This window comes from Homo sapiens, chromosome 11 (assembly GCF_000001405.40).
Source record: "Homo sapiens chromosome 11, GRCh38.p14 Primary Assembly".
Lineage (NCBI taxonomy): Eukaryota > Metazoa > Chordata > Mammalia > Primates > Hominidae > Homo > Homo sapiens.
In genome coordinates, this window is record NC_000011.10 from 104,586,173 (window position 1) to 104,613,039 (window position 26,867).

The following is a 26,867-nucleotide window of genomic DNA, read 5'->3' on the forward strand; positions in this document are numbered from 1 at the left end:
AGAGGCCCCATCCCACAAAAAAAGAAGGGCCTCAGGAAAAAAACCTCAGTTGAGGATCTTAAAGAGCTAATCTTAACAATAAGAGCAATATCATAAAAAATAAGGGTCACGTTTAAAAGTAAAGGCAGAGTAGAATTAGAGCAGGAATCACTAAACCTGAACTGCACAATAGGCTATATGAAGATGATCTGGCCAGACTCTAGCAGCTTTCTGGAATTACATTAAATTCTCTTTGGAAGAAGATAATATCACGTGTGTGTGTGTGTGTGTGTGTGTGTGTGTGTATATATATATATAAAGATTAGATATAGATATAGATATAGATAAAATAAAATTTAATTTATATATATAAATTGAATATATATATATAATTTAACTTATATATATAAATTGAATATATATATATATATTTAATTTACAAAATCCAGCTTAAAAAATAATTGGTCATGGCAGGAAATAGGACAAAAAAGCTCCCAAAAAGAAGAAAAAATAAAGGAAAAGGAAAAGCAATAGTAAAACACCCAGAGGAGATTCTGTTGTCAGACATAAAACTTGAATATCAGTATAATTAATGCGTTTACAAAGTAGCGAAAAAGGTGAATGCAAAGTAGAGAAAAAGATGAACCACAATCTGTTAAATAAATGCAAATGTTAGAAGAAAAATATATATTAAGAAAGTAATATAAGTTTTAGTAGTGGTTTAGGTATCACAGAACCAAATGTTAGTGAGCTAAAAGACAGTTCAGCAAGAAATACCGAGGTTGAAACACAAAGAATACAGAAAATTTTAAAATACAGAAAATATCATGAGATGTCAAATACAACATGATGAAAAGTTCTGAACTTTGTGTGATTAGAACTCGAGAGGAAAGACAAAAGAGAAAAACAGTAATATTAAAAGAGAATGAAGGGCAATCATTTTGAGACAGCTTTAAAAAATTAAAAATAATTTTTAAAAACCCAGAAAGCCTCTCCTTCAAACAGCTTTCAAAATACCCCAATAGAAATAAAAGAACACACACACATATTATTGGTGTAGTTAAGAATTTGAAAACAAGGGAAAATTTGAAAAGCAACTGTATAAAACTCATGTTTCCTTCAAGAGTGAGATAGACTGCCAACGAACTTTCAGAAACAGTGGAAAGTAGAATATAAAAAAAATTGAAAATGCCAGGCTGGGCTTGATGGCTCATGCCTGTAATCCCAGCACTTCGGGAGGCTGAGGCGGGCGGCTGATGAGCTCAGGAGTTTGAGACCAGCCTGGCCATCATAGTGAAACCCCATCTCTACTAAAAATACAAAAAATTAACTGGGCGCAGTGGCTGGCGCCTGTAATCCCAGCTACTCGGCAGACTGAGGCAGGAGAATTGCTTGAACCTGGGAGGCGGAGGTTGCAGTGAGCCGAGATCACGCCACTGCACTCCAGCCCGGGGGACAGTGCGAGACTCCATCTCAAAAAACAACAACAAAAATGAAAATCGCAATAAAGGAACTCATTTTAGAATCTTATTCATGATGAAATTTTCTTCAAAAATAAAAAAAGGCACTTATAAATAAACAAAAATCAGAGAGATTAATCCAGGGAAGGACGCATTAAAAGACATGAAAAGATATTATTAAGCAGGTAAAAAGATAAGAATATTCACTGCTTAAACAATATGTTGTGGAGTTGAAAATATGTATAGAAATCATGTACACAAAAATGGTAGCACAAAATTCAGTAAATGGAGCTGAAGTTGTAAGGTCCTTGCATTGTCCAGGTAGTGGTATAAGTATTGATTTAAGGTAAAGTCTGAGAAATCAAAAAAAGCATATAAAAATCTAGGTTGACCACTAAAAAATTAACTATAAGATCATAGAAGAAAATAAATTAAATAATATCAAAATCTTAAACAATACAAGAATGAGAAAAAAGTAACAGTGAACAGATGGGATAAAGAGGAAACAGTAGTAGGATAATAGATTTGAAACTGAACAAATCAGTAATTGTATTATGTGTATACAAACAGAAAGCTCTAGTTAAAGTTTTTCAACTTGAAAAAAACTCATCTTGATAGATGACATGTAATAAAATCATTAAAGAAATCTAGTGTAGTTATATTAATATCATACAACTTGAATTTAAAGGCCAAGGACTATTAAAAATATTGACATTTCATCAAAATACTCAATTCACCAAAAATTTTCAGTTCACTAAAATTTGTAATAATTCTAGATTTGTATGCTGCTAATAACATGTACTCAAAGTACATAAAATAAAAATAAAATAAAACTTTAAAAAAGATTGAATCATATTACAACCTAAGTAAATATTAGAACAAGGAGAAAATAAGTCATTAAGGATAAGAGAGAATAACAACCCTCACAAAGCCTGACATAGTGGTAGAAGACTGTAACAAAAAAGCCGAAGACTATATTTTTAAGTGTACGTGAAACTGTTTCCACAACAGACTGTATCCTGGGCCAGAAAGAAAATCTCAACATATGTCATAGGACTGAAACTATTAAGAGTGTGTTTTCTTTGTGCATTTATGCAAGAAAGCAACAGAAAAATAATACTTGAAAAGGTTCAAATATTTATAAATTAAGCAATAATCTTCAAAATAACCAAATGAGTCAAAGATACTAAATTATGTACCTATAGGATGCAGTTAAATCTGTGCTTAGTGAGAAATGTATAGGCTTAAATGCTTCTAATCGACAAAAGGAAACATTCTTAAATTGGTAACCTATGTGTTCATTTCATGAAGCTAGAAAAAAATCCAGCAAATTAAATGTAAACAAACCAATAAAGAATAATTTAGAGCAGAAGTCAGTGAAACAGACAACAAATGGACAATGAGGAAAAATGAATAAAGCCAAAAGTTATTTTTTTGGAAAAGACTAACTTGGTAGATATGAAAATGTTTAGTGTGAATTCCCTTCAAAGGTCTTTCTTTTCAGCTGTCAGAAGTGTGGTGAATAGAAAGCATCCAGCTGTCAGCTCCTTCAAAGTCAGCCTCAGCGGTATAGAGAGCTGTTTGCTTTAGAGCATGGCTTTCCAAGGGAATCTCATATCTGATAGAAGCAGACATATAAAATCTGTCAAATTTCAAGCTGATATGGGTTAACTCTTGGGAAACTATTGCTACAGCACTCCCTGCCATGTTAGCAAAGGTCTTGGCAGGCAAGCATCATAATGTGGATTTCTAATAAACTATAATTCAAATTGGAACTGGGAATGGTTCAAGCAAGCAGGTAAGAATGTGGATTGTTTTTGAAGTTGGGTTTTGAAGTTGAATCATTCTCCACCTGTCTGGTAATAAGGATCCCCACACTGAAGAGAGGTGGAGTACAAATGGGCCTAGTGTAAGATGGTGGTTCAGTCATTAACCCTATCACTGGTAGTGAATTAAGAAGGTGTATTAATGAAAAGAAATGTGCTGATTAATCCTATGCATTAGGTGTTTGAGATGAATGGAAGAAATGCTATATGGATAACATGCTTGCTTGACTATAGTTAAATGTCATTGATGTTCCACAGAGAAGTTATGAGGAGCTGAGGAGAGTACTAGACAATTTAAAGTCAGGTGTGAAAGCTTCTTCTTCAGTGACAGGTAGATAAATCCAGGGACAAAGCTGTAGACTTAACAGACAGAGAGATCAACTTCAAAGACAATTAAATGCTCATCAAGGCTCTTCTCTCATGTTAAGGTAAGGGCTCCAGTAGGAAAATCCTAGAATGCTGGCACATTAGATGGAGAGGCCTGGGTGTATGCCATGAATCTTTCTGACTTCTCAAAGCCCTACTGAGTCTATAAAAATGACACTCCCATGAAGAGCTAGAATGCTCTAATACTCACTTCTTGTGTTGGTTAATAATTCAGAGGCTCTTTCCTGTAAGTCATCATGTGTGCCCCTCAGGATCTGCTCCCACGTCCCATCATGCCCACTGCTGCTATAACTGTGTTACGTTGTAGCATAACTTAGCTGGTTTTATAGTCAAAAGGAGCCACGTAAAATAGACATCATACACCAGCAAGTCCAGGGGGAGCATAAATGGGGTTGGATTCTGAGGGTGCTTAATCAAGGGGAATGAGTATAAAATAGGATAGGTAAGAGTTTCTTGACTTGTAAATACTCTCCTATGATGTAGAATTTAACATCCAGGCAATGATCCCAGGATATGGGGCAAACTAGAATGTCAACTAAAGGCACGTAAAAAGCAATGGACTATGCTGAATGAAGTCAAAGGGCTAAAAACTGGAGAAGTAGAAAAGGGAAAGGAATAAAAATGCTCTTGGAAGTGGGCAGGCGGGAAGTAGATACAGCATATATAGTCAGCAGGTCTAGCCAATGGGTATGGTATGCTTCATGGAAAGGCCCAGAGGATGTATTATTTATAAGGGCTATGAGGAATAACCTGGTGAGACAGGCACCAGCAACACTAAAACTTGTAGTATTGCCTTTACTTTGTGAACTATGACTGTTAGTTGGATAAACTAAAATGTGGCTTTCTGATAGCAGTGGGGTTAATAGGACCCACCTACACTTCAAAAAAAAAAATAGACGATAGGTGGTGGAGTTAACCACTAAATTTAATAGGTTACAATTATCTTATTATCCAGCAAGTTATAGTTGAAGTCAAGAGATCTGACCCACAGAGGATTATGAATTGGTAGATATTTATATAGTTATGGCACATGGCATCTCTATAGCAAGACAGATAGGTGGGCAACAAGGATATTACTCAGCTTGTACCAGCAGAAGAAATCAAGGATGGATGACCAGGAGGCTGAGGGTAGTTACCTCAATAAAAAAACATACCTTCCTCAATTCTCTAACCTGAGTCTGTTTCCTGTTCTCAAATCATTTGACCAAAAATAAAATTAGATCCTCCCAAGAGAAAGGAAGCTGCAACAACACAGTGAGTCTATTCCACAATGACTCTCATTCCTTCGCCGAAGGGATCCATAGCCAGTTATTCGAGTTAAACAATAAACTTGGAAAAAGGCATTATTCAAATACTTGTAGGACTACTGGACACAGGTCTTAATTGACATTGATGCCTGGAGATCCAAAGCATAATAATCATAGTACCATAGATGAGAGCTGGGTCATATGGGGCCACTAAGGTGTTCAATACATGTATGGGTGGATAAATATTTGTAAAAGTACCTGGCCTACATTAAAAATAAGAATCAACAAAGGCTAGTTAAATCTGTTAGCTGAATGCCACCAAGAAGCATAGATGAGCAAGATATCAGAGCAATATTTGTTTTAGGAATATAGGATTGGCTTGACTTTTGCAATTATTTGCTTTCATAATTACTTTTTAACCTAGGCTAACATTAAAATTAGTTATTATTCCCAAGGGCATAATGAATGCCAGTAAACAATGTCAAGGACAATTTTCTCAGAGCAGAAAATAAAGTAATACTGCAGTTGATTATTCATATGCAGATACTAGAGAGTTAGCTACCAGACAATGGTGATCAATAATAAAAAGAAATGTTGAGTTATTTCGTTCTGTGCAGATGACAGCTGCCCATAAGCTGTTGCCAAATCAGCACTCATAGAACATGGATACAGCCCCAGTATAATTTCTAAGCCCAGAGATTGGAAAAGTGACCACCTGCCCCTCTGCAATGCAGTGGAATTTTTCAGGACAGGTAAATTTGTCGAAATCTATATACTGCCACAATATTTAGATTGATTTATAAATTTCTCAAATAGTCATATGTTAGAAATGAAGAATTTTAATATTCTTCTTATGTGACCCTGTCATGATATAATCCAGTACAGTTGGTCTAGAGATGCTCTGGAATTATAAACAAAAGTCCAGAATCAGGTAGCATCCAAAGCCTTCAGGCATTTTTAATTTTACTGCACAATCCTACTCTAACTGCTGTTGCCAGAAAGGGTCGCCATAGGGTGTGATTTAGCATAATACTGATAGCCACAGTGCTCTAAAGGCTGAACACAGAGGGAAAATCCAGGAAGTAGCCTGGTTCAAGTAGGTCTCAATAACTGAGCCAGATTTTGTGTAAAGTTGGACATTATAAATGGTTCTTTGGGACATTTTCCCTTTTACTTCTGAAATGTTTTTCTTTTGTTCCTGAAAGTCAGATCAGATGCTCATTTAAAGAACTTTGCTATACATACGTGATCTTTTGAGGTTTCAGGGAAAGTGAATTCATTCTTTTAATATGCTTCTGTGGGCAGATTTTGGAGAGCAATGAAAATAATTTCATTCTCAAAGTATGCTGAAAATTTTATACAATAATGTGTTTTGATCTGGGGAAGAAAAGTTCAATTAAAATTATAAAAATAATACAATTGGAGCACTGAAAAATAGTTTCTTGTCAATGAATATTTCAAGACCATAATATTTCTTGAAATATTTTTATTTATAAATTAACCCAAAGGGATATGTTAGTTATAATAATATTAGACTTGCTCAAAAATTAATTTAAATATCAAAGTATATTTTATTAAAGTACTTGTAAAATAATCATTATACCTATGAGTAAGCAATTAGACAATTTTAATCTCAAACTGAAAACCTCAAAATTTACCTCTGCTAGCTTGTATTACCTTCTAGCATTCTCTAAGCAGTACTGATCTTGCTTTCAGATATGGTAACTATCCTCTCCCCACAATTTCATTGAACAAAATCCTAAGACTGTTCTGATTCACTAAGAAATCAATTCCCTCTCTCTCTCTTCTACTTGAAACTGTAGTCAAATCACTGTGTTAAAATTCTAGATTGACACCTTGGGAGGCCGAGGTGGGTGGATCACTTGAGCTCAGGAGTTCAAGACCAACCCAGCCAACATGGTGAAACCCTGTCTCTACTAAAAATAAAGATATTAGCCAGGTATGGTCACGCACGCCTGTAATCCCAGCTACTCGGGAGGCTGAGGCAGGAGAATCACTGGAACCCAGGAGGCAGAGGTTGCAGTGAGCCAAGATTGTGCCACTGCACTCCAGCCTGGGTGACAGAGTGAGACTTCGTCTCACAAAAAAACAAAATTCCAGATTCACTTTGTTAATCAACGTTTATTGGGGGCCATTGTTTTGGACTAGCCTCCTACATGAGGCTCCAGTAGACCAGGAGGGAGTCATTTGTGCTAAGGGCCACATGAGTCAAACTAAACTTTCAAAAGAGCCAGTTTTTGGGAAAAAAAAAAAAAAAAGCAAAAACATAAAAACAAACAAGAAATTCTAGTCAAACTGGGAAATTGGGGAAGCTTAATAAGGAAGACTTCTCTTTTTTTTTTTTTTTTTTTTGAGACAGAGTTTGGCTCTTGTTGCCCAGGCTGGCGTGCAGTGGCACCATCTCGGCTCACCGCAACCTCCACCTCCTGGGTTCAAGCGATGCTCCTACCTCAGCCTCCCGATTAGCTGGGATTACAGGTGCATGCCACCACACCTGGCTAATTTTTTGTACTTTTAGTAAAGACAGGGTTTCACCATGTTAGTCAGGCTGGTCTCAAACTCCCAACCTCAGGTGATCCACCCGCCTTGGCCTCCCAAAGTGCTGGGATTACAGGCGTGAGCCATCACGCCCAGCCTAAGACTTCTCTGTTTTAGCCCTATAAAATAGTTTTGAAATGACCAATCTTTTTTATTTTTGTTTTCTATGTTTTCTTTCTTTGGTTCTTTCCTGCCCATAAAGCCAACCTCTTTTGCTTAACTCATCAGAACATTCATTCTGCTTTATACAATGAAATTTTGCCCAATTCTAGAATTGCAATAAAATCCAACTTGACATTTAATCTAAATTTGTTGTAATTTTCTCTTTTAACAATTCCTAGGGAAACTGAGATTATGAGAGCTAGAGACTATTTTAGAGGTGATCTAATCTAATAATTTCCAATTGTTTTATTTCTCAAAGTTTGTCTTTTGTTTTTTTTTTTGAGACAGGGTCCCGCTCTGTCACCCAGCATCGAGTGCAGTGGTGCAATATTGACTCACTGCAGCCTCGAGCCCCAGAGCACAAGAAATTCTCCCACCTCAGCCTCCCTAGTAGCTGAGACCGCTTGTGTGTGTCACCACGTGTGGATAATTTTTGTTTTTATTTTTTGTAGAGACAAAGTCTCACTATGTTCCCCAGGGTGGTGTTGAACTCCTGAGCTCAACTGATCCTCCTGCCTTGGCCTCCCAAAGTGCTAGGATTACAGGTGTGAGTCACTGTGACTGGTCTCAAGGTTTGTCTTTAATAAATAAAAAATACAATCTTTGCTAGCATTGAGGAACTACATGATCTTGTCTTCAAAACCTCCTATGACTCATCCTCAAATAGATTTTCTAGGAAGCCCTCAAATAGATTTTCTAGGAAGCCACCCAGACAGCTAGAATTCATGACATTTTATGTTAAAATATATAAAAACAAGTTCACAAATGTTGGATTCATTGGCTTTTCAGAATTCACTGAACTGCCAGGTATTATGCCTTTTTTAAAAAAAAGAACCAGAACTTGTGAGTACTTTAGTAGACTTCATTTATTTTCAAATGGTTCCTTCAGTTGGACACCAATGTGAGTAAACCACCCCTTTTCTCCCCAGTGAACCACTGCTGCTAAGACTCTCACTGTTGAAGTTTTGCGCTTGTTTACTATTTAACCCACACCATGCAGTTCTCTTCCTCATTATAATGTGATTATTTCACAGTGGTGTCATGTTTTCATAGTGATGCAAGGTTGAGTCTGCACAGCGGTGTCATAAATAGAACATTCTACCATCTTTAACATCAAGTTAAATATAAGTATAAATGGAGATTGCCACAATTCTGAAAGTAAGGCACCTGATTCAGTCTTTAATGCATTCCTTATCACTCAATGTGTTCTTACGTATTAATGAATATGTGGCCAGTAGAGAGAAGCATGGGATAAATGCCATGGTACCTGCAATTTGTTTTTTTTAATTCAAATGTACTTTCATTAATGAAAAATTTTTATATTCACTTACCACATTTATAAAACGTTTCACATATATTGCCCATCTTCTTTAGAAAAGATTTCATTAAATATCTAAACTAAATCAGATCTTCCTATCATATGCTAATATCATATCCTATAATTTTCCTTCTTAGCAATTATCATATTTTATAATTACATAATGGTGTGATTGCTTGATGAATGCCTGTCTTCTATATTAGACTCTAAATTGCAGTATAGCAATTATTAGTTTTCGTGAGCATCGTGGCTATCCTTAGCACCTACAGTGCTTGGCACACAGAAAATAATAGGCGTTTGTAGAATAACTATATTTAAAAATAAATTATTTTCTTATATGAGCTCCTGCTAATTGATAACAAAACTCTTACCCAAAAAGTCACAGCAAGCCTTCAGAGTTCTCAGCACAACCTTCCAGAGTCACTGCCAATTAAAATGGTCAGACATATTAAAACTTATTTGTCGTTCTTGACCTTTCTACTTATCTAGAACACCATTTCTTAAAATTCCTTCCTGATAATAGTCACCTTCAGGGCTTATTAGAAAAAACATATTCCCAGGATCCTCCCCTAGAGATTCTGATTCAGTGAGCTTGAGATTAGACCCAGGGATTTTTTAACAAGCATCCCAGGTAATTGGTATTATCAGTGGAACTGGAAAACACTGATATAGACATGCTTTACAAATTTGTCTAAACATAAGATTTATCTGCTAATTCAATTAAAAGAAAAAAATACCTAGCCATACCCCAGGACTTCTAAATTAGAATGTATAGAGAAATTGGGAATCTGGATGTTTAACAAACACCATGTGATTCTGTTGATTAAATGTGAGAGACTTAACTATCTATTACTTAACTGTATGTAACTTCTGTTTTGTGAGCTTAGATGTAGCTTTTTTTAAGAGTAGAACAAAGTTAAATCTTTGAAATAAGGAAAAATATGTTTTGCATGAATATGATAAGTTGAATACATGCATTATCTCAATCTTTATCCTTAAGCCCAATTAAAATATTATAAAATTGATTTTAAAACTCACAAGGGTAAGAAGAACAAGGGAAAACATGCCAGCTGAATCCAGAAATCACAACTTAAAAAGTACACGAATAGCAAGAATGATTTGGGTTTCAGCATTCACACCCTTGCTAAGGGCTTGCAGGAGAAAACCACAAGAATCAAGCTAACTGGGTCCACAGATTCCCAGTGAGTCTCATTAATTGGAGGCTCAAGTACAGATCTTCCATGTACTGCATTTGGGATAGAAGTGTGGAACCGTAAACAAACAAACAACAAACCATCACCACCAATACCACCACCACCACCACCACCACCACCAACAACAACAACAACAACAACAGACCAGGAGGAAGAGTTGCAAATACATCTATGAAATAGCTGTACCTTCAAAACTTCTGGCTCACTACCCCTTCCCATTCTAACAGAAGGCGGCAGACTTACCGCCAGGAGAGTTTGAGTAAATCAAGTACAGTGGAATGCAATAGAGAAAACAAAACGGGTAGACTAAACAAATTTACAGGCAAGAATGAAAGAAAAAAAGCAGAAATGATTAAGGTCAGTCATCTCATCAATGAGCCACTGCACTAGCTCTGAAGTCCCAACTTTCAGATTTCTTGTACAACCAAAATCACTAAATGTCTTTGATGCTTAGTCTACTATTTTCTTTCTTTTTTGAACTCCCAGAAACACTCTCCACCAGGCTTATAGTACCCTATGCAGGTAAGTAAATGACTGTTATCTTTATAAATCAGATTGATAGAAGGGACAGAGATAATGTCAAGTGGATATTTTCTTTAAAAAGAAAAATGAACAAATAAGAACACCTGTAACCTATACCCTTTGATTACCAGATAGTCAACACACTAGTGAAAGAATCTGTCAGCCACACACACGAGAAGAAATAGACTACCTGAATGGGCCTATGTTTATTAAAGAAATTGAATCAACAATTAATAACCTTCCAAGATACCACCCCATATATATTCACGGGTGAATTCTACCAAACACTGAAGGAAGAAACAATACCAATTCTCTGCAAACTTTTTGAGAAGATAGAAGCATAAGGAATACTTCCTACTTTCATTCTATGAGGACAGCATCTCCCTAAAACCAAAATTAGACAATGACATTATAAGACAAGGAAACTAACTACAGATCAATGTCGCTCATAATCATAGATGGAAAAATCCTCAACAAAATTTTAGTAAATTGAATTTTTAAAAGTACAAAAAGGATAATATACATGATCAAGAGGAATTTACCCCAAGTGTGCAAGGCTGATTCAACAGTCAAAAATCAATTAATGTTATCCATTACAATAAGATAAAGAATTAAAATCACATGATCATATTAATATATGCTGAAAAAGCATTTGATGAAATTCAATACTCACTCATGATAAAAAAAAAAAACCTCAGTAAACTTAGAGGGAAAGTTCCTCAAATTGGTAAGAATAGCTGCAAAAAATCTATAGCTAACATACTTAATAGTGCAAAGCTAGATTTTCCACAAGATGAGGAACAAGGCAGGATATCTCCTGTCATGACTACTTTTCAAAATCATACTGGAAGTTGTAGCTAATGCAATAAGACAAAAAATAAAATAAAATAAAATGTTTGTGGAGGGAGGGAGCAGTGCAGGGCACAGTAGCTCATGCCTGTAATCCTAGCACTTTGGGAGGCCAAGGGAGGCAGATTGCTTCAGCCCAGGAGTTTGAGACTAGCCTGGGCAGCATGATGAAATCCCATCTCTACGAAATAATACAAAAACTATCCAGGCATGGTGGTGTATGCCTCCAGTTCCAGCTACTTGGGAAGCTGAGGCAGGAGGATCACTTGAGCCTGGGAGATCAAGGTTGCAGTGAGCTGCAATCGCATCACTATACTCTCACCTGAGTGAATGAGCAAGACCCTGTCTCAAAAAAAGAAAAAAAAAAAGCTATACTGATTGGTAAGGAAGAAATAAAACTGTTTTTGTTCACAGATGGTATGATTGTTTATGTAGAACATCTTGAGATTCTTGAAAGTCAATTCTTGAAAGCCTCAACAAGAATAAAGAAACACCTTCTAAAACTAATAAGAAATGATAGCAAGGTTGTAGGATATAAGGTGCAAGATCAATACACAAAAGCCAATTAACATTCCTTTATGCCAGCAACGAACAAGTAGAATTTGAAATTAAGAACACAATGCCATTTCCATTGGCACCCACAAAAGGAAATACTTATGCATAAATCCAACAAAGTATGTGTAATATCTATATCAGAAAAACTGTGTTGAGGTATAGAAAACAGTATAACAAAACAAATGGAGAGATATTCCATATTCATGAATAGCACCCACAAAAGAAAATACTTATGCTTAAATCTGACAAAATATGTACGATATCTATATCAGAAAACCTGTGTTGAGGTATAGAAAACAGTATAACAAAACAAATGGAGAGATACTCCATATTCATGAATAGCAAGATAATATTATCAAGATGTCAGTTCTTGATTTGATTTATTGATTGAATGCACTCCCAATTAAAATCTTAGATAGTTGTTTTGTTGATATCAACAAACTTATTCTAACATTTATATAAAAAAGCAAAAGACCCACAATAGCCAGCACAGTATTGAAGGAGAAGAACAAAGTTGGAAGCCTGATACTACCCAACTTCAGGACTTACTATAAAGCTATATTAATCAAGACTGTGTGGTACTGATGAAGGGACAGACAAATAGATCAATGGAACATAACAGAGAGCCCATAAATAGACCCACATAAGCATAGTCAACTGATCTTCGACAAAAGAGCAAAGTCAATACAAAGGAGAAACCATAGTCTTTTCAACAAATGGCACTAGAACAACTGGACATTCACATGCAAAAATGCAAAAATGCAAAAAAAAAATTTTTGCATTCACATGCAAAAAATGAATCTGGACATAGACCTTACTCTTCACAAAAACTAACTTAAAATGGACACAAACCTAAAGGTAAAACACAAAGCTATAAAACCACCAGAAGATAACAGAGAGGAAATCTAGATTACCTTGGGTTTGGCTATAATTTCTTTAGATATAACACCAAAGGCATGACAAATAAAAGAATGTATTGATAAACTAGACTACAACTAAAATTTTCTAGTCCATGAAAGACACTGTCAAGAGAATAAAAAGACAAGACTGGGACAGAATAGTTGCAAAAGACGCACCTGATAATACTTTTATCCCAAATACACAAATAACTCTTAAAACTGTACAATAAAAAATATAATTAAAAAATAGACCAAAGATATTAACAGAAACTTCACCAAAGAAGATATACAAATGGCAAATAAGCATATGAAAAGATACTCCAGGAGTCCTGGCATGTGGCTTATACCTATCAATCACAGCATTTTGGGAAGCTGGGGCAGGTGGACTACTGAAGGCTACGAGTTCAAGACTGGACTGGACACAAAGGAAGACCCTGTCTCTAGAAAAAAAAAAATAGCCAGACATCAGATGGCATGTGCTTGTAGTCCCAGCTACTTGAGAGGTTGAGGTAGGAGGATGGCTTGAAACCAGGAATTAGATGTTTCAGTGAGCTATCACTGCACTCCAGCCTGGGTGACAGGGTGAGACCCTGTATCCAAAAAAAAAAAAAAAAAAAAAAAAAAAAAAAAAGAAAAGAAAAAGAAAAGAAGAGAGAAAGAAAAGGAAAGATACTCCACACCCACATCATATGCCATCAGGGAAATGCAAATTAAAATGTTAGGGAGATACCATTACTTACCTGTTAAAGTGGCCAAAATTTGGAACACTGAGAATACCAAATACAGATCATTTCTTACTTACAATGGTTTGACTTAAGATTTTTTTTTTACTTTATTATGGTGTGAAAGTGATATACATTCAGTACACTCCTCAATTTCTGATGGGGTCATGTCTGGACAAATCCATGGTGAGTTGAATATACTCTCAGTCAAAAACACACATTCGACTTATATTTTCAACTTATCACAGGTTTATCCAGACATAACCCTATCATAAGTCAAGGAGCATCTCTACAGATGAGGATGCAGAGAAACAGGAACTCTTCATTCATTGCTGGTGGGAATGCCTCTTTGGGAGACAGTTTGGCAGTCTCTTACAAATCTAGACATATCGTTACCATATGAACCAGTACTTGTGCTCCTTGATATTTACCAGAAGAAAATGAAAACATACATCCATTGAAAAACCTGCACATGGATTTGTATGGCAGCTTTATCCATAATTTCCTGAAACTGGAATAAATCAAGACGTTAAGTAGGTGAATAAACTGCGTTACATCTAGACAATGGAATATTATTCAGTGCGAAAAAGGAATGAGCTATCAATCCATAAAAAGACATGGAGAAAACTTAAATGAATATTACTAAGTGAAAAAAGCTAGGCTTAAAAGGTTACATATTCTATGATTCCAACTATATAACATGCTAGAAAATGCCAAACTTTGGAGACAGTAAAATGATTAGTGTTTTCCAGGGATTAGGAAGAAGGAAGGGATGAATAATCAAAGCACAGAGGATTTTTTTAGGGTGGTGAAAATTCTCTGTACAATGCTATAATGATGGATGCACATTATTATACATTTGTCAAAACACATGGAATGTACAACTAATATCGAGAATCTACAAAGAACTCAAACAAATAGGTAAGAAGAAAACAAACAATCCCATCAAAATGCATATGGAAAAGTACTCAACATCAGTATCAGGAAATGCAAATTCAAAACCACAATGTGATACCACCTCACCCCTTCAAGAATGGCCATAATCAAAACATCAAAAATAATCAATGTTGTCATGGATGCGGTGAGAAAGGATCACTTTTACACTGTTGGTGGAAATGTAAACTAGTACAACCACTATAGAAAAGAGTGTGGAGATTCCTTAAAGAACTAAAAGTAGATCTACCATTGATCCAGCAATCCCACGACTAGGTATCTACCCAGAAAACAAAAAGGTCATTTTACAAAAAAAGATACTTACACATGCACGTTTATAGCAGCACGATTTGCAATTGCAAAAATAGGGAGCCAGTCCAAATGTCCATCAGTCAAAGAGTAGATAAAGAAAATGTTGTATATGTGTGTGTGTGTGTGTGTGTGTGTGTGTATATATATATATGTACTGTGGAATACTACTGAACCATAAAAAGGAACAAAATAATGGCACTCACAGCAACGTGGTTGGAATTGTAGGCTATTATTCTAAATGAAGTAACTCAGGAATGGAAAACCAAACATCACAAGTTCTCACTCATATGTGAGAGCTAAGCTATGAGGAAGCAAAGGCATAAGAATGACACATTGGACTTTGGGGACTCAGGTTAAAGGGTGGGGCGTGGCCAGGAATAAAAGACTATACATTGGGTACGGTGTACACCATTTGGGTGATGGGTGCACCAAAATCTCAGAAATCACGACTAAGGTACTTATTCATGTAACCAAACACTACCTGTTCCCCAAAAACCTATTGAAATAAAAAAATAAAAAAATTTAATAAAAACACAAGGTAGAACATGACATGCAGATTAGTAATGACATAAGAGATATGGCTTTCATGTTGTGTGGAAATTAGACACAGCTTTGTGAGAGAAAAAAATAGAGTGATCTGCTTTTCTTTCTTAGCACCTTAAAACTTATGTCTCCAAAGGCTCAAAGAAGCAACTTTCTCTTCCTTATAAGAAAGTAAAGGGATGTTATTCTAGATGAGTTCTCTGAGAATTGTTCTCCTTTCCTTAGACAAAAAAGAACTTTCAAATATGGCTAGAACACACAAAGCGTGGCTGCATTAGTTCAGTACCTCTCAGGTTGGCATATGCATATCTAAAAACTAAGACTCCTGGGTGGAAATAAATGGCCTATGTTCTTCTCATGGTAGAGCACATACCTACAACCGTGTAATATATTTTACATGACACAGGAATCCTCGTAAGGATGTGAAAACTAAAACTGTTTAACTTGGGTATGAAATTGATTCGAACAATACAGGTTTGAATTGTACAGGTCCACTTAGACATGGAAATTTTTTCAACAAATATATTAGAAAACTTTTTAGAGATTTGCAAGAATTTGAAAGACTCCCAGATGAACTGCATAGCCTAGAAATATCAAAAAAAAAAAGAGAAAAGCTATGTCAAAAACGAAAAAAATCATACGTAGATACTAGTCCATTTCATCAATTCCCACAAGATGTACACAAATCTATTGCAAAAAATAAAATTTATCAAAACTTACGCTCACACTTACAGACCATATGTAGCACAGCTATATGCAGTTGAGAGAAATGTAAGCAAACATAAAAATGCGATATTAAATCTTAACTGCATAAATTGTGTGTAGTACAATATGTACTACTGTAATATCTTTACAGTCATCTCCTCTTGTTATTAATAATGTTGAGCTCTAGTGCTGCAAGTATCTGCTTAAAATGCTGGGAGAGGTGAATCATCTTTCAATAAGCAGTTGATCTATCCAGTAAATTGTGTATTGCAGTAAAAAGCGATGTTTTGCAGTTCTCATGTATTTTTCATCTTGTTTAGTGCAATGCCTTAAACCTTTAATAACAGGGACCCGCACAAAGTGCCACTAGTCCCACTAGATCTGCTGGAGGTGCCCCTAAGAAGTGGAGAAAAGTCATGGAATTTTAAGCAAAAGTTGAATTGCTTGACATGTACTGTAGATAGAGATCTGCAGCTGCCTTTGCTCATCATTTCAGACAGACGATTCATCTTGTAAACACATGAGGTAAACTTACGGCATAAGCAAAACATACAGTACTGTAAATGTATTTTTTCTTTCTTATGATTTTCTTAACAATATTTTGTTTTTTCTAGTTTACTTGATTGTTAGAATACAGTATATTATACATTAACATACAAATTACATGTTAATCAACTCTATATTATCGGCAAGGCTTCTTCTGGTCAACAGTAGGCTATTAGTAATTAAGTTGGGGGGAGTCAAAGGTTATATGCTGTTTTTCTATTGTGTAGTGAGTTAGTGCTTCTAGCAACCCCATGTTGTTCACGGGTCAACTGTATTTTATAGTAGGTTTGATGAAAAGTGGATATACTGGACAAAGGGGATGTGATCTAATAATAATAAACTGGGGGAAGCTGAGTAAGACTTGTTAATTCAGGTACTTCTCTGTGACCCTTCATCTTCAGAGAGAAGGAGGTTTCTTTCCTTGAGGTACAGGGAGGGCAACTCTCACATGAGAATCTTACGACCTGCTTAAGAGAAGAAGGGTGAGGGTTGGGGGTAAGTTCAGAGTAACAAGTCTGCGTCTACTCTTTTCTTCAATATGCCAAGGTGCAATATTTGAGATAGTGTTTCCTGAATCTCATTATACGTTGTTTTGCATATCATTAGTTCATTCCTTTTTCTTTCTGAGCAGTAATTCATTATGCTGAAATTTGTTTACACATTCATCTATTGATGGAAATTTGGGTTGTTTCCAAGTATTGTGGATTACATATAATGTCACTATGAACAACCTTGTCTGTGGACAGGTTTTCACTTATCTTGTGTAAATACCTATGAATGAAATAGATTGCTTCACATCTTTCACAACACTTGGTGGGGTCAGTTTTTTAAAATTGTACACATTCTACTAGATGTGTAGAGATATCTCATTCTAAATTTAGATTCCGTTTCCCTAATGGTTAATAATTTCAGCATATTTGTATGTGCTTATTTGGCATCCATGTTGTTTTTAAAGAGTCATTTCAAAATTTTGCCCTTAATTTAATACATTTTTTGTTTGTTTCTTATTTTGAAAGTCTTTATATAGTCAACATACAAATCATTTACTAACTATGTGAATTGCAAATATTTCCTTCTGGTCTGTGGCTTTCCTTTTCATTCTCTTAGCAGTATCTTTTGATCAACAAACATGCTTAATTTTGATGGCACATAATTTATTAATCTTTTTCTCATATATATTTGTGGCTTTAGTGGTTTTATATAGGAAATCTTTGCCTAACTCAAGATAACTGTTATCTTCTAGGAATTTTAATAGTTTTAAGTTTTTTGTACATGATGCAAGGTATAGATTAAAGTTCTTTTATTTTTTCGCATGTGAATATACAATTGATCCAACATCGTTTTCGTAAAAGACTATTCTGTCTTCACTGAATTGTCTTTGTACTTTTGTTGAAAATCAATTTCTGGATTCTTCAATGTGTTCCATTTATCCATTTGCCTATCTTGATGCCAATATCATACTTTCTTGATTAATGCAGCTTTTATAGTATGCATTGAAGTCAGCTTGTGTAAGTCATTCAGCTATGTTCTTTTTCAAAGTTATTTGAGCTATTCTAAGTTCTTTGAATTTCCATATGAATATTAGAATTAGATTGTCAGCCTCTATGAAACAAACTACTGGGATTTGACTGAAATTGGATTGAATATGGATCAATTTGTGAATTGCTATTTTAACAATATTGAGTCTTCTCATCTTCAAATACAGACTGTCTCTCTATTTATTTATATTTCATTTAATTTCTCTCATTAATGCTTTATATTGTTTACATTTTTCATTATATTTATCAGTTTTTTATGTATATTATTACAAATACTATTTTTATTTCACATTGTTTATTGTTAGTATATAGAAATACAATTTATTTATTGTATATAAAGTTTGCGCCTTGCAAACTTGCAAAGCTCACTTATTATTTCTAATAGTTTTTTTGTAGATGTCAGTTAATTTTCTACATAGATGATCATGTCTGGAAATAAAATGTTTGATTGTTTCCCAGCTGGGTGCAGTGACTCAAGCCTGTCATCCCAGCACTTTGGGAGCCCAAGGTGGGCAGATCATTGGAGGTCGAGAGTTCAAGACCAGCCTGTTCAACATGGTGAAACCCCGTCTCTACTAAAAATACAAAAATTTGCAGCGCATGATAGTACATGCCTGTAATCCCAGCTACTCAGGAGGCTGAGGCAGGAGAATTGCTTGAACTCGGGGGCGGGGGTTGCAGTGAGCCCAGATTGCACCACTGCACTCCGGCCTGGGTGACAGAGTTAGACTCTGTCTCAAAAAAAAAATCAAAACCACAATGAGATACTACCTCACACCAGTTAGAAAGGCAATCATTAAAAAGTCAGGAAACAACAGATGCTGGAGAGGATGTGGATAAATAGGAACACTTTTACACTGTTGGTGGGAGTGTAAATTAGTTCAACCATTGTGGAAGACAGTGTGGCAATTCCTCAAGGATCTAGAACCAGAAATATCATTTGACCCAGCAATCCTATTACTGGGTATGTACCCAAAGGATTATAAATCATTCTATTATAAAGACACATGCACACATATGTTTATTGCAGGACTATTCACAATAGCAAAGACTCGCAACCAACCCAAATGCCCATCAATAATAGACTGTATCAAAAAAATGTGAGACATACACCATGGAATACTATGCAGCCATAAAAAAGGGTGAGTTCATGTCCTCTGCAGGGACATGGATGAAGCTGGAAGCCATCATTCTCAGCAAACTATCACAGGAACAGAAAACCAAACACTGCATGTTCTCACTCATAAGTGAGAGTTGAACAATGAGAACACATGGACACAGGGAAGGGAACATCACACACCAGGTTCCGTCAGTGGGTAGGGGGCTAGGGGAGGGATAGCATTAGGAGAAATACCCAATGTAGATGATGGTTGATGGGTGCTGCAAATCACCATAGCACGGTATGCCTGCGTAACAAACCTTCACGTTCTGCACATCTATCCCAGAACTTAAATTATAATAATAATAAATTACTTGTTTTCCAATTTGAATGTATTTTATTTATTTTTCTTGCCTTAGTGCACTAACTAGATCCTCCTGTACAATGTTGAAAAGAGCAAATGAAGTTTTCTTGTTCCTTACCTTAGGAGAAAAGCATTTAACCCATAACACAAATATGATATTGTATGTAGGTTTTTATAAGTTCCTGTCTTTTTCTAATGTGCTGAGAGTTTTTATCAGAAATAGATGTTAAATCCGATTGTCTTAGTTTTTTTCTGCATCTATTTAGATTACTGTATATTTTTTCTTTTTAATCTGTTAACATGGTAAATTATATTGATAAATTTCAAATGTTAAACCACTTTTGCATTTTATGGGATAATACATATTTGGTAATGATGCGTTATGCTTTTTCCATATTGTTGGATTCTGTTTTTTTTTTTACATTTAGTTAAGAATTATTATATCTTATGTTCATGCAAAATATCGGTCTCTGATTTTATTTTATTTTATTTATTTTTGAGACGAATTTCACTCTTGTTACCCAGGCTGGAGTGCAATAGTGCGATCTCAGCTCACTTCAATCTCCGCCTCCTGGGTTCAAGTGATTCTTCTGCCTCAGCCTCCGGAGTAGCAGGGATTAAAAGCGCGTGCCACCATACCTGGCTAATTTTTGTATTTTTAGTAGAGATGGGATTTCACCATGCTGGCCAAGATATTCTTGATCTCCTGACCTTGTGATCCACCTGCCTCGGCCTCCCAAAGTGCTGGGATTATAGGCGTGAGCCACCGTGTCCAGCCGGTTTTCTTTTCTTAAAATGCTTTTTTTGTTTGTTTGTTTTAGTGTCAGAGTAATGCTAGCATCATTAACTGATTAGGAAAGTATTCCATACTTTTCAATTTTTGGAAGAGTTTGTATAGAATTAGCATAACTTTTTCTATCAATTATTGAGAGTGGGATATTGAAACCTTAAACTATTTTTTGAATATGTGTCTCCTTGCAGCTTTATCTATTTTCGTTTCATGTATTTTGAAGCTCTGTTACTACTTGCATAAATACTTCACAATGCTATATCCTCTTGATGAACTGACCCTTCTGGATGGTGAAGAAAAATAAAATATTCTTGGCCTAACCTGAGCTCCAAGAATTGTTCCCCTTAGTCCTTCCAGAGGTTCATTCTTCAGTTTCGAGTAGATTTCACCCACACGTGTGCAGATGAGTTCTCTCCTGAAACACTTGAGAAAGACCTGATAGAAATTGCCAGAGTTTTCTCCCCATGCAGCTCTCCCCTCGCTCATGCTCTGTGAACCCTAGCTGCTTTTGTCTGGGAACTCTCAGCTGTCTCCTCAACTCTACAAGAATGCCAGACGCTGCCTGTGTTTCTTATGGCTCACCTAGGTCTAGGAGATTTAACTGATTACTTAATCTTTTATCTAAAACAAACCATACTAATTTGTACAAATACCTTTAATTCTGTGTGAAATTATTTTTATATTCTTTATTTAAGAAAATGTGATGTTGTATCTCTGTCTTAAATCATCAAAAATATAATGACAGAAAAATTAAAAGAAAGAATAACAGAGGAAACATATGGATAACACTTGAATTAATTCACCATTCCAGTGTCAGGAAGATAGTTTCTGCAAACATTTAAAAAATCTATGTATTCTGACGAGTTGATGTCTTGTGATGGTTTTACAAGAAGAATCAAATATAAATATCATGTTGTAAAAGATTAATATGCATGCATCTGCTTTAAATAGAACAAGGCTAAAGAACATTTTGTTCTTGTTACTGCTTCTCAATAAGTTTGGTAGTTCAGTTTAACTCAGGTAAGCTTTCTAAATGTCTAGCATCTTGTCCAAGCTCATAACAAAGATGTTCAAATGCCTTGGCACCCTCCTATTATTATTCCTTCCTGCTCTCCTCATAACCTTTTATTTTCTCATTTTTCATTTAACCATTCCTGGACCTCACTCTCATCTTGCAATATCTAATAAGCCTTTACTAAGGACTGAACATGTGAGGGCCAGATTTGTGAACTGGACTTTTCTCTCTGTAGATTTTTCAATTAGGTTTTCACAATGCCCTAGTTTCACTGAGTCAGTAAAACTCCCAGATGTTTCCATTCTTTATGTATCTCTCCTTGTATCCCTCATCTCTGTCATAATTTTAGAGACCCTCTTGACATTTAAAAAATTTGGAAACAACAGTTTCTTATTTCTGCCTAAGAAGACTTAAGATATTTCTGTAAAGATTTGGTTGGACACATATAGACATTTATTCCAAATTAAATCAGTGGTCTTCTTCAGATTGAGTTCCAAGCTGTAAACTTCAAAGGATAAGTTCTGCTTTACTAACTGTAATGCCAAACCAATTATTTTATAAAAACAATTAAATTGTCATGAACATAAGATTTCATATCCTGAAAGAATAGGAATAAGTTCTATTTTCACAATTAGTTTTCTATGTATAGTCCTCAACCACAATGCCTGTGAACCACCATCCTGGGAAATAAACTTTTCTTGAGATCTCAAAGCAAATGAAGACAAGTAACCAGCATGGCACAAATGCTTCTCTGCTACTACGTGGATTCTTTTATAGACACTGATTATATATTAAGATATTAATTTTATCCATTTACACTCATCAAAAAAGAAATATATGGTCCACATACTTAAATTCAACTTCTTTCTTAGAGGCAATGGACTAAGTACAATCACAAGCAATAGACAAACATCATAACTTTAATTTTTGGCTGTAAAAATGGAATAAAAACAGTAATTGTATTCATCATCGCTTGATGAAGTCTTTAAAATGTTACTTTTATTCTAGGAAGAATGTAGGCAACCTCTAAAGGGTTGATGTGGCAAGAAAGACACTGATATTTTTTCTGGGAAAAAAATACCTTGGCTCTGAACGAAAAAGAATATTGCTGAAATTATAGTTAGGAGCCTAGTTCTCCTATTGTTAGAGCTCTTTTAGGACATTTTATGATATTTTCTACAAGCACAGGACTGTGGCTATTTAGCTTGGTTTCTATTATGCCTTTCTTGGCATCATGTAGGATAACTAGCACATCTTATAGGACACCAGTGAAAGACAAAATAGACAACACAAAAATCGTATGGCATTCCTCAAACTGTTTTATGTGAAAAAGAAAGGCTGTCTTATACTATTCAAATCCCTAGACGAATATGTCAAAATAAGAGTACGAGAGGAAGGGGTTATTTCAAGGATATCCCACATATAGACAACATGGTGCATTGTGACATCGTTATATAAATATTAATAGTGCCAGAATACTAATCCCTTCATCGGGGAGGAAATATTCTAAATTCACTTACCTCTTGCAGCACTTTCCTACATAGTACTGTAGACACAGCCCATTGGCATCCTAGAGATGGCATTCTGAAGAGAAAGCAGGATCTCAACTCCTCTCAAGGTGTTCCTCCCTCCCTTGAAGGTCAGGATGTCTTGTGCTGGCACATCCTTTGGTGGGTCAGTAGATGGCAGTGTGTCTGAATCTAGTATGTATGGTAGGGGAAAGCTTTTTAGCATTTCCCAAGAAAATGAAGGTTTTGAAAGCTGTGAGGCAGCATGGGGCCTAGTGCATGGGCCAGAAGACTTGATCTTTATTTCTGGCTCAACTCCTGAATACATTTACTTGAGTAAATGGACACCAGCCACTTAACTTTTGTGTTCTTTGCTTTCTTGAACTTGAAATTAGACAAAATACTCTGCCTCTTCCCATCTCCCTCACAAGGACCCTGTGAGTTTAATCAGACTTCAGATTAGTTTCCGTTCTTTGAAGAAAAGACTCCTTATGAATTTGCTATGCTATTTATAATGTCAGTGGCAAAATTGATCTGGGTTGTTCTTCTGGGACTTGAAGTAAATAAACACAGAGGCATTTGGCAAGAAGGATCTTCTGTATTTCTGTGCCATAAAATGTTGGTGTATTTTGGTTTTAAGTAGCAGCACTGGATCTCAGGATGCAAAATTATTCTTGTTACTTGGAATTAAAATAACTTCCTCCATTCCATGGAACTTGACAATTACGGAAGGAAGCCAATAGGCCTCTGGCACCTTCCCAATTTAAATTTAAACTGTTCACTGCAAGTACAGATTCAATCAGATACAATCATTTTCACTTTTCCCTGCTATTAAACATAAGAATTTTCACTTCAGCATTTTACTACAAAGGTGGCACTCTGATAAATGTTAAATGAAATGGTAAGTAGGAAATACCATTGAAGGGTTGAAAGATGATTCTTTTTCCCAACAAGATCCAGCTGTGCATGAATTCACTGGAAGTTAGAATAGTTAGAATCCTCAACCAAAACATACCTTCAGCTGCATGGCACCAAAATGGGTCATGACAAGATCATGTTGGGGCAAAACAAACTTTAACATCTCACCTGTCAACCTGGCTCTGGTCACGATCAAAGCTAAGCTTCTTTGAAGAAGCCTTGCTACTTTGAGGCTGGTAACAAGGATCAAAAAGGGATACAATAAATAATACTATTTCTGGACAGGTAGATTCTGATAGGGAGGTCTAGCGTATTTCTAATACAGATGCCTACCTCATCTGGTCTTCTTGGAAACAAAAAATTATATTGTGTAGGATAGCCAGAAATCTACCTGCTATATAAAAAGATAAAATTGTAAAATGAAATGGATGTCATGTTTGAACACATGCCATACCATCATTTTTAGGTAGCAGCCTTTCAGGATATAGACAAATATATTTGGGATGGTTTCTGGGTGTATAATCCATTGGAAAAGCTATTTTAATATAAAAATTCACTGTCAAAATATTAATAAACAACTAGTCTTTTTTCAAATCTCTTGTGCAATAAACATAGATTCAAGACAAGTGATTTTTGTCGTGTCATCTTATTTGTAAGACATGTCTCTCTAGTTGGATAGTGATTGGCTTGTTGGTTTGAACGTCAGGAGGTTAAAATCTTAATTTAAATATGCATTAGTATTAAAATATGTTCAAGAGAATGTCACATCAACCTCAACCTCAAAGTACCAATTATGTTGTTTGGGTTCCACATTTGACACTGTTCTGACTAAACTGATATCCCCCGTTCAGAATTTCTAAAAATGCCTCAGATCTCAGTTTCATAATACATTCTATGTAAAGTAGAAACATTAAGAAAAACTGAATTATAGAAACATAATTTCATAGTTTCAAGGACATAGAAGTCAAAGCATACTGCTTGAAGCTAATGAACAATTATAAAGATGTAGAAGCCAGCACATTATTAGCATTAGGTTAGAAGAAATAGACAATTCTGTAACCACTCAACAGGATGGATTCAAAACAAAGAAATTGTTAAGTTTGGAGTTTAATTATAAACACTAATTTGTAACTTGGATGAGAACAGTAACTGTTTTTAATCCTTAGCCAGTGTTTTATTTTTTTCCCTGAAGCCGCTTATTGAAGAAAATAAATGACGCAGGAAAAGCAAGGGGAATAACTAATAACCAACATTTTATGCATATATATGTGTAGAACTTAAGTGAGAAAAAAACTGATGGCACCATAGTCAATTTAAATAAGATAAAACGTATCAATCAAGCAGTCAACCATAAATCTCTAAGAAACAAGAAGCCCATGTACAAATTCACGGAAACATGGTAATTGATCTTTGTTGATAACGTTGAAGCACTTTGTGATTCAGAAAAAAAAACAAATTTGGAAGTTATCGTATACATAATATGGTTTTACACATAATATTATGTATATTTTATTACATTTTATATTTTTAGATATTATTCATACCCAATTTGTGGCAATCCTGTGAATCCGATCATTGGTAAGTTAGAATAGTTCTTTCCAGGTAATTATTTTTAATTTACTATTTTCAAATAATTTTAAACTTTGGTAAAGTGGTTTGCAGAGATAGTTGCTCTGACAGGCTGTAAATCGGTTTAGTAGCTACCTAACAGCATGGAATATAAGAATGTGCTCGGCGTGTTAACTGTATACATCAATTTCTTAAAAGCTAAAATATCTATATAAAAATAAGGTGCTTTAGGAAAAGAAGGCCATTGGAAGACCCATGAAAATGGTAATTGACTTTCTGAACCAGAAAAGTAAAGCGATAACATAAAGGAAAGAAACAAGATGACAAAAGGTATCATAAAGTATTACACTTGAGTGCTCTCAGTTACATAGATGGCGGTTCCTGAATCATCCTGATTTTGTGAAACAAGTGGAAAATGGATAAAAAAAAGACTGCCTCTCTGTAGACTGATAAGATCCCAACTGTTAAGAAGTGAAAAGTTTCCCAACTTATGCAAATGAAGAATTGCAACAAGTTGGCCAGAAAGGTGATGGTATCTATCAGTCAGGGATCTTTCTGCTCTAAGTGATTGACAATTCAACTTAAATTGGATTAATAAAACTGAGGTATTATTGGCTATAATGTAAACAAGTAGTTCAGTTTAATTAGAAACTAAAATTCTAATGATTAGAATTTCTCTTTACACTGCCCCTTGCCCTCTGGGCTAGCTCAGCCCTTTGAATAGTGCCTCTCAACGGATGTACAAGAGCAGCAGCAAGCAGCAACCTTTACATTCTTCTACCACCCACTTCAGGGAGGCTGTTGTCTCACAGGCCTAACAATTGTTCTAAGGATCACACCTCTGGGGCTGGACTAAATTACTGGTCAATATCTGTAGCAATCCTGATGGCCAGGAAAATATAATGTGCCTATTGGCTGAAGCCTGCATACATCCATTGATTAGTGAACTCATCCAATAAATAATCAACGTGTTAGAACCTTTCTTTGACCCCAATCACTGTGGCCAAGAGTGTGAGCTGTGCGAATAAACCCTAGGCAGTACCATCAAAATTGCATAACCAATAATGCGAAACTAGTAGTTTCCCAAAAGCAGATGGGATATTATTTAAAGGAAGGAAAATAATAAATGCTGAAAAGAAAGCAACTCCAGGGAAAAATTCCCAGCTGTTTTCTTGATTCTATACATATATAGAGTGGATAAGTTCAAGGAGGCTGAACAAAGAGAGAGAATGCATTTCAATATTCCTAATGCAGGTTCAGCAAAAAGGGATATATGTAAGGAGCTATTAAGTTCATCAATAAAGTGATCTAGTCTTATAAACAAGGTC

At 35.4% G+C, this 26,867-nt stretch overlaps 1 long non-coding RNA gene across 1 annotated transcript in view; it reads right to left on the minus strand.

Annotated features, from left to right (window-relative positions):
• Positions 1–23,130, minus strand: part of LINC02552 (long intergenic non-protein coding RNA 2552) — a 40,814-nt gene extending 17,684 nt beyond the window's left edge. Inside the window, exon 1 of the long non-coding RNA NR_120585.1 lies at positions 23,065–23,130. This is a non-coding gene — a long non-coding RNA (long intergenic non-protein coding RNA 2552). The remainder of the gene's footprint in view (positions 1–23,064) is intronic.
• Positions 23,131–26,867: the final 3,737 nt, after the last annotated feature.